This window comes from Homo sapiens, chromosome 8, assembly GCF_000001405.40.
Source record: "Homo sapiens chromosome 8, GRCh38.p14 Primary Assembly".
Classification (NCBI taxonomy): Eukaryota; Metazoa; Chordata; class Mammalia; order Primates; family Hominidae; genus Homo; species Homo sapiens.
Genome location: NC_000008.11, coordinates 21,367,140 through 21,377,114, shown reverse-complemented (window position 1 = coordinate 21,377,114; position 9,975 = coordinate 21,367,140). Strand labels below are relative to the sequence as shown.

Here is a 9,975-nt window from a genome sequence, read left to right as displayed (position 1 = left end):
CCACAAACCCCACATGATCTGCCTCTTGGTACCTAGGAGAACAGATAAAATAAATGAGACTGACAACACCAAGTGCTAGCAAGGATTTGGACTGACTTGAACATTCATGCTTTTTTGGTGGGCGTATTCCAACTTCTCTGGAAAACTTCTTGAGAGTTTCATGCAAGGTTAGGCATTTACCTCTCCTATGACCTAGCAATTCTCTTTCTAGGTATTTACCCAAAGGAAACGAAAATATAAGATTGGAAAAAGACTTATATGAGAATATAGTAGTTTTAGTTCCAAGAACCCGAACTGGAGACAACCCATATATTTATCTACAGGTGAAGGGATAAAGAAAATATGAAATATTCATATCATGTGATATTACTGAACAATAAAGTCAGAAAATTCAGGGGCTCATCAGGGTGGATGGGAGGCAGGACTAGATTGCAGCTGTGACTCAGATGGACAGAACAGTGTACAGAGGCTCATACCATGAATTTTAGCTCCAGAATGACTGTAAGAACAAACTGGGAATCCCAAGAGGACAACAGACCCTCTGAAGGAAGTGGACTGCTTCTGCAGGACCCAGGAGATGCCCCAGGTGCTCAGCCACAGCAAGACCTGCCAAGGAGAGTCTGAGCTCAGACACGCCTAGCTCTGCCCCCACATGATGGGCCTTCCCTATCCACCCTGATAGCTGAACAAAAAGGGCATATGCTCTTGGGAATTCTAGGGCCCCTACCACTGCTGGCTCCTCTACCTAATCCCATGGCTGATGCTCTCTGGAAAGCACTACTTCCCAGCAGAAGGCCAACTAGCACAAAAATAGAAGATTAAACCACCAAAGCTAAGAACCCTCACAGAGTGCATTTCACTCCCCCACCACCTCCAGCTGAACACGTGCTGGTATCCACAGCTGAGAGACCCATAGACAGTTCACATAACAGGATTCTGTGCAGACAACCCCCAGTACCAGCCTGGAGCTGGGTAGACTTGCTGGGTGGCTAGACCCAGAAGAGAGGTAAAAGTCACTGCAGTTTGGCTTACAGGAAGCCAAATCCATAGGAAAAGGGGGAAAGTACTATGTCAAGTGAACACCCCATGTGACAAAAGAATCTGAACAGTCTTCAGCCCTAGACCTTCCCTTTGACAGAGCCTACCCAAATAAGAAGGAACCAGAAAACCAACTCTAGTAATATGACAAAACAGCCCCCCAAAATCACACTAGCTCACCAGCAGTGAATCCAAACAAAGAAGAAATCCCTGATTTACCTGAAAAAGAATTCAGGAGGTTAGTTATTAAGCTAATCAGAGAGGCACCAGAGAAAAGCAAAGCCCAATGCAAGGAAATCCAAAAAATGATACAAGAACTGAAGGGAGAAATACTCAAGGAAATAGCATAAAAAATCAAAACTTCAGGAAACATTGGACACATTTATAGAAATGCAAAATGCTCTGGAAAGTCTCAGTAATAGAATTGAACAAATAGAAGAAAGAAATTTGGAGCTCGAAGACAAGATCTTCAAATTAATCCCATCCAACAAAGACAAAGAAAAAAGAATAAGAAAATATGAACAAAGCCTCCAAGAAGTCTGGGATTATGTTACATGACCAAACCTAAAAATAATTGGTGTTCCTGAGGAAGAAGAGAAATCTAAAAGTTTTGAAAACATATCTGGGGGAATAATTGAGGAAAATTTCCCCAGCCTTGCTAGAGACCTAGACATTCGAATATAAGAAGCACAAAGAACGCCTGGGAAATATATGGCAAAAAGATCATCACCTAGGCACATTATCCTCAGGTTATCTAAAGTTAAGATGCCAGAAAGAATCTTAAGAGCTGTGAGACAAAAGCACAAGGTAATCATAAAGTAAAACCTATAAGATTAACAGCAGACTTCTCAGCAGAAACCCTACAAGCTAGAAAGGATTGGGGCCCTATCTTCAGCTTCCTCAAAGAAAACAATTATCAGCCAAGAATTTCGTATCCAGCAAAACTAAGCATCATATATGAAGGAAAGATACGGTCTTTTTCAGACAAACAAATGCTGAGAGAATTCACCACTACCCAGCCACCACTGCAAGAACTGCTAAAATGAGCTCTAAATTTTGAAACAATTCCTGGAAACACATCAAAATACAGCTTCTTTAAGGCATAAATCACATAGGACTTATAAAACTAACATAGAATTTAAAAAACAAAAACAACAACAAAAAAAACAAGGTACACAGGCAATAAATAGCATGATGAATGCAATAGTACCTCACATCTCAATACTAACATTGAATGTAAATGGCCTAAATGTCCCACTTAAAAGATGTGGAACTGCAGAATGGATAAGAACTCACCAACAAATTATCTGCTGCCTTCAGGAGACTCACCTAACACATAAGGGCTCATGTAAACTTAAAGGATTGGAAAAAGGCATTTCATGCAAATGGACACCAAAAGTGAAGAGGAGTAGCTATTCTTATATCAGACAAAACAAAATTTAAAGCAACGGCAGTTAAAAGAGACAAAGAGGAACATTATGTAATGGTAAAAGGCCCTGTCCAAAAGAAGAATATTACTATCCTAAACATATGCGCCTAATGCTGGATCTCCCAAATTTATAAAACAATTACTAATAGATCTAAGAAATGAGACAGACAGCAACACAATAATAGTGGGGGACTTTAGTACTCCTCTGATAGTACTAGACAGGCCATCAAGACAAAAAGTCAACAAAGAAACAATGGATTTAAACTATACCTTGGAACAAATGGACTTAACAGATATATACAGAACATTTCACCCAACAACCACACAATATACATTCTATGCAATAGCACATGAAACTTTCTCCAGGATAGACCATATGATAGGCTATAAAACAAGCCTCAATATATTTAAGAAAACTGAAATTATATCAAGCACTCTCTCAGACCACAGCGGAATAAAACTAGAAATCAACTCCAAAAGGAATGTTCAAAACCATGTAAATACACGGAAATTAAATAACCTGCATCTGAATGAGCATTGGGTCAAAAACAAAATCAAGATGGAAATTTAAAAATTCTTCGAATTGAATGACAATAATGTCACAACCTGTCAAAACCTCTCGGATACAGCAAAGGTGGTGTGAAGAGGAAAATTCATAGCCCTAAATGCCTACATAAAAAAGACTGAAAGAGTACAATCTGACATTCTAAGGTCGTACCTCAAGGAACTAGAGAAACAAGAACAAACCAAATCCAAACCCAGCAGAAGAAAGGAAATAACCAAGATCAGAGCAGAACTAAATGAAATTGAAACAAAAATAATACAAAAGATAAATGAAACAAAATCTGGTTCTTTGAAAAGATAAATAAAACTGATAGACCATTGACAATATTAACCAAGAAGAGAGAAAATCCAAATGACCTCATTAAGCAACTAAAAGAGAGATATTACAACTGACACCACTGAAATACAAAATATCATTCAAGGCTACTATGAACATCTTTAGGCACATAAACTAGAACATCTAGAAGAGATGGATAAATTCATGGAAAAATACAACTCTCCTAGCTTAAATCAGGAAGAATTAGATACCCTGAAGAGACCAATAATAGGCAGCAAGATTGAAATGGTAATTAAAAAATTATCAACAAAAAAAGTCCAGGACCAGACGGATTCACAGCAGAATTCTACCAGCCATTCAAAGAATTGTTACCAATCCTTTTGACACTATTCCACAGGACAAAGACAGAGGGAATCCTCCTTAATTCATTCTATGAAGCCAGTATCACCCTAATACCAAAACCAGGAAAGGATATAACTAAAAAAGAAAACTACAGACCGATATCCCTGATGAACATAGACGCTGAAAACCTTAACAAAATACTAGCTAACCAAATCCAACAACATATCAAAAAGATAATCCACCATGATCAAGTGGGTTTCATACCAGAGATGCAGGGATGGTTTAACATACACAAGTCAATAAAGATGATACACCACATAAACAGAATGATACAATGGACTTCGGGGACTTGAGGGGAAGAGTGGGAGGGGTTGAGGGGTAAAAGACTACAAATAGGGTGCAGTGTATAATGCTTGGGTGATGGGTGCACCAAAATTTCACAAATCACCACTAAAGAACTTTCTCATGTAACCAAATGCCACCTGTACCTCAGTAACCTATGGAAAAAAAAAAAAGTGAATTCTCTTGGGACCTGGGAGCTCTGAGAGAAAGCAGACAGGCACAAAAGAGTACATATTGTGTGATTCCGTCTACATGAAGTTCAAGAACAGAATGCAACTGATCTGTAGAAGTAGAAATCAGGCATAGGTCATGAGGACTGGTTGGAAGAGGACAGGAGGCAACCTTCCTGGGTAACAGAAATGTTCTTTACTTAATTTGGTTGTTATTTACATAGGTGTGTACGCATTTGCCAAAACTCATCCATTATATAGTGAAGGTCTATGCATTTCATTGCATGCATATTTCTCAATAGAAATGACTCAATATCAAGTAAGAATCATCCATAAATTATCAAAAGCCCTTCAACTATTGTTGTATGATGTTACCTTAATGCTGCAAGTCACTTTTCACTAGTTATTGCATGAAGCTTATGCCAAGAAAGAAGATGCCCCCAGCATAGAGCCTGAGCCTTGCCTGGCATTGAACAGCTTGGGGAACACACGTAGAGCAATAATATGTTTTCTGAAACAGCCTGTTTCTTCACACAAAGAAACGTGAAGATCTAAGTTAAAAACCAAAAAACCCTACATGAAAAATGCTCCAATGCAAAACAATGTTCCTAATCAATGATGCCTGTACCGGAAGTTTGGATATTTGTCAGATGGCAGAAATTATTGTAAGTTCTGAAAAAAGACGATTTAACCTGGTGTCACAAATTTACACAGTGGTCTTGGTGGTCTTCTAAGTGCTAAGATGTATTATGCTACACGTTTTCATGCTTGTGCTGTTCTGTACTGTGCTTTAAAAATTTCTAGTATCTATTTATAATTTGAATCAAATGTTTGCAAAGCCCCTGAAGTACCTACCAGGTTGAAAACCAATGGTCTAGCTACACTCTCTGTAATGGAGGCCAGGATGCTGCCTTCCGTTTATGCTAAATAACTTTGTTAATGGCTGGGCTTAAGTGTTAACAGTTTAGTGGTAATGGGTAAGCTGGCAGTCTGGGAGACTAAATGACTCCTGTTAAAAAATTGATAATGGCTACTCCTGGGCAGAAGCAAAGGACAGATAAATAAGGAGAGGCTATGAACTGTCCATTGAACTAAAATCAGATGATGTGGGTTAGAAGCATTATTTCAACCCATTTTTGGCTGTGTGAGTCTTGATGAGCCATTCACATTATCTGGGCCTCAGTTTCTTTTTGTGTCCTGCCCCCCTCAGAGGGCTAGAACGGTGCTTCTTCAATGTTCTTAAAGGTACAAGTCACTGAGACATCTTGTTAAAATACAGGTGATGACCCAGGAGAACTGGAGGAGGCTGGAGACTTTGCATTTCCAGTAAGCCCCTGGGTGATGCTGATGCTGCAGGTCCAAGGACCACACTCTCCAGGGGCTGGGAAACTCACACCACTGCTTTCTGAGAGGGCCTCTCAGTGATGCAATTTAGATTAAGGGTGGAGAGAAGGTGGGATTTGAGAGGAAACACAGATCCGTAAATGCTGTGCTGGCCAATATGGTAACCACTAGCCCCATGTGGCTAACTAAGTTTACATAAAATGAAATTAAAAATTCAGTTCCTCAGTGGAAATAGCCACATTTTAAGTGCTCCATAGCCAATAAGGTGACTATTGGCTAATGGATTATATTAGTCAGTGCAAAATAGGAATGTTTCCTTCATCACAGACAGTTCCATTGTGTAGCACTGCTTTGGGGTATTCAAGAGAGCAGAACTTGACACGGGAGCAGGCTGGAACCTGGGAGCTGGACAGTGTTCCAGAATGAGGAGTCTCTCGAGCAGATGATCAGCTGAGCTGGATGAAGCAGGACACTGCATCTATAGGTAATGCTGGTAAAGGTCCATCTGGAATTAATGAGTGTCCTTCCAAATCTTTGGACCTGGAGTCTATTCTTACTGCTGCTCTGCTCAGGTGGCCTGTGGGTTGGGTTTCTGACCTCACACACACCATTTGCCTCTTCCAATCACTGCACATTTAGCACGTGTGGTTGCAGTAGACTGACGTTGGTGGATCTCCAGACCATTCAGAGCTGGGAGGAACCCTATTTCGGTGCTTTCCAAACCATCTTCTGGGGAGACTGCACCATCCTGGCTGGGGGCTCCTTCTGCTTCAAAACAGATCGGTTTCACTTTCGTCTATTTCACATATTAGTTTCCTTGAAAACTTCCCTTTTGAAAAAATTGGTCCCACTCTTAGCAAAGTTTCACGTCCACTGATGCTAGTTCAGCCAGCTCACTTTATAAACAATGAAACTGAAGTCCAGAGAGGTGGAGGGCCTGAAATTTCCAAGGTCATATGGCCAATTAGTGAGCAAGCTGAGATGAGAAGTCGAGTCTCCTGACCTGGGCCGTGTTCCTTCCACCAGCTCACTGTTAATTACCTTCTGGGGCTGTGTGTCTGGGCACCCCAGCTGGGCTGTTGGCTCCTGGAGGGGAGGACGAGGCCTGAGGCATTTTTGGAACTACTCCTGGTCTGTGCCTGGCTCGCTGTGGAGAAGTAGTGCCATCTAGTTAATTGCAGGTTATGGTAGCTCCCTGGGAGCTGAGGTGCTGGGAGGAGTTCAGAGGCAGAACACATGGATGCCTCAAAACTTCCGCCTCTGTAATTTGGAGGTGATGCTCTCAGGACAACTGGCTTTTCAGGTGCCTGTGACTTGCCATCACGAAGGACCACTGAAAGGTCATCAGAAGGTATTCACTGTTCCTTCTTCCCCAGGGTCTGGTGCTCTGTCCCAGAACTGGCCCCCAGGTCAGGCCTGCGCTCCCTGGGCTGGAATGTGGCTAATTTCTAGCTTCCATCTGGAGCTAAGTGCTTTTCCATTGTCAGCCTCATTAACTATACAATGATGATTGCTGGCTCCCCAGCTGGCTGTCTTCCTCCTTTTTTGTTTTTGTAGTAGATCTTTCTTGAGCTTCTATCTGTCCCTCTGGTAACACTTCATGTTGATATTCACACATGCTAACCATATGCCAAGGAACAGAAGTTTCTGAGCCTCTCCTAAATGGTGCTGGTGAGGGATTGGATCCAGTTAGGCCACTGGATGCTGAATGGGGATTGTTAGAGGATGATGTGAGAAACAAAGCTCTGACAATCCTGTGTTCCTTTTAAGTTGTATTCTGCCCCAGAGACCAGGAGCTGAATGTTTCAGACAGTTTCTTGCTTCACAAAAGGGTCCCATTTACCAGACATGTATCATTTAGGTGAATTTGAAATTTATTCTAAATTTAGTGGTCTCTTTGTTTACTCCCAAAACAATGATGATTGGTTGGCATATACATAATGCAAGGGCTTCCATGAATCCGTAGGGCTGTTAGTACTGTGTATCTACGGCCTTTCTCAGCAGATCTCTGTGCCCATTCCCCACCAACCCCACGACTTCATGCACATGCACACATACAGTCCATTTTGGAGGTAGGCCAAGTGGTTCATCCAAATCGCCTGGCCATCCCCTGGTGAGTTCAAGAATTAGAGATAATGATGCAGAGGACAGGGGGATAGTGCCTACCTTGTCTTCTTGCTGGTTGGTTTGTTTTTCCTCTTTTGGAACGTTTATGATGGATACTACTGGTTGACTCACTTAAGGCCCACTTGACTTCCTTCTCCCTTATCTTTCTGTCCAATAGACCCTAAAAAGCAAAACAAAGTACTTACATTTCTAGCTTCACTTGTCATCAGCATGGCCATGAGACATCATTCTGGACAATTGTCTTTTGGCAAATTCTCGGGGGGAGCTTCCATTCCTGGATAAAAACACCAAACCTTGTAAGAAGTAAGATTTCATTGTATACTTTTGACTTATCTCCCTTTTTCCTGTTTGTAATATAGAAACAATATTTGAAGCTGCAGCAGCCTTTTTGTGACCATGAGGGTGAGAATGAAAGGTCCATATTAAAGACGATAGAGCAGAAAGGTAGATGGAGCCTGGATCCCTGGTGACAGTTTTGTGTAGCCATGCTAGGCAGCTGCACTGCTACCCTGAATTATTTTTTTAATTTTTAATTTTTTTAGTTTTCTTGAGATGGAGTCTCACTCTGATACCTAGGCCGGAGTGCTGCGGTGCAATCTCATCTCACTGCAACCTCTGCCTCCCAGGTTCAAGTGATTCTCCTTCCTCAGCCTCCTGGGTAGCTGGGATTACAGGTGTGCACCACCACACCCAGCTAGTTTTTGTATTTTTAGTAGAGATGGGGTTTCACCCTTGTTGGCCAGGTTGGTCTTGAACTCCTCATCTCAGGTGATCCGCCTGCCTCAGCCTCTCAAAGTGTTGGGATTACAGGTGTGAGCCTCCGCGCTTGGCATGAATTCTTATTATGAGAGAAAAAAAAAAAAAAAAAAAACCCTACCTCATTAGACCACTGTTTGTTGAGTTTTGGATTACTCTCGGTCACATACATTTCTAAATGATTCAGGAAACATGGCAGTTTTTTGTTGTTGTTGTTGTTGTTTTATAGTCCACTTTTCCTACAAGGAAATTTCTTGGTTAAGAAGCCATGTGGTTGCCGAGAATAGCCCTAGATTAAAAGTCAGAATGTTAGGTTTCACTTCTGGATTTGTCATAAAACTGGATCCACAAGGCTATTAGAACTACCCACCCTGCAGGCCTTTTGTACAAATCATCTTCTGTATCTGTGCCTTCATCTATAAAATGATGGTGTTCAATTTCTGGCTTCTCTAGGATTATGTGAAGTTTTCCCAGTCTCGTGGGAAAGGATAAACTGGGAAATGTTTTTGCTTTGTGCCTTTCCATCAGTGGTATTCAATATCTACTATTTAGCCCTCTAATCCAGCAGAGAATTAGAATATAAAATGAAGAGGAGGATTATGTCAATAATAAAATCCTGTATAACAAACCACCCCCCAAAACATAGTGGATTAAATCGAAACAACAACTGCTTATTATTTCTGTGGATTGGCTGGCTGGTCTGCTTATTATTTCTCTTGACTCTGTGGATTGATTGGCCAGTCTGCTTATTCTTTCTCTTGGCGCTTTGGATTGGCTGGCTTGTCTGCTGGCCTTGCCTGGACTCAAGTGGCTGCATTCAACCTCCAAGAACCTTACTGTGACAGTGAAGCTTTCTTCAATTGTGTTGGTGTGGTCATTGGCTGGGGCTTCTTGTTTCTCCTCCAGATCCTCTCTCTACCTTGTCTGTCCATCACAATAGCTTGTAGTTCCTTGCATGAGGATTCAGGGTTCTAAGAGGCTGAATGAAACAGAAGCTGTGGGACTTTTTAAGTCCTGGGCCTAGATGTTCCAGAACGTCACTTCCACCACGTTTCCTCCACAAGACCCCTAAAACCTCACCTAGTCATAATATTGGGGTCGATGTCCTCAATGTTGTGTTCTGCCTCAAGTCCAGAGGTTGACAAGGTCCCTTGCATGTTGCTGTTCCCATGGGTCTACTGCTGATTAAGAGACCTGAACATTGAAAAGACAAGTTATCTGCCACCACACCCCCAATATACAATGCACCCAAGACAATGGAGTGGAAGAAAGGGTCTTCACAATAGACAGACATTCACAAACAGAAGGAGGGAGACTGGGAGACACACACTGGCCTATAGAAAAGCTGAACTTGGCTGGACGCAGTGGCTCATGCCTGTAATCCCAGCACTTTGGGAGGCCAAGGTGGGCAGATCATGAGGTCAAGAGATTGAAACCAGCCTGGTCAACATGGTGAAACCCTGCCTCTACTAAAAATACAAAAATTAGCTGGGCGTGGTGGCACACATCTGTAGTCCCAGCTACTCTGGAGGCTGGGGCAGGAGAATCCCTTGAACCCGGGAGGTGGAGGTTGCAGTGAGGTGAGA

The 9,975-nt window shown here is 41.9% G+C and overlaps 1 annotated feature.

Moving 5' to 3' along the window:
• Nucleotides 6,754-7,276: an enhancer, noted in NCBI's record as "OCT4-NANOG hESC enhancer chr8:21227350-21227872 (GRCh37/hg19 assembly coordinates)". NCBI's record gives its function as "activates a minimal SCP1, AML or CMV promoter by ChIP-STARR-seq in naive H9 embryonic stem cells {active_cell/tissue: H9 hESC(naive)}" and the evidence as "EXISTENCE:reporter gene assay evidence [ECO:0000049][PMID:30033119]".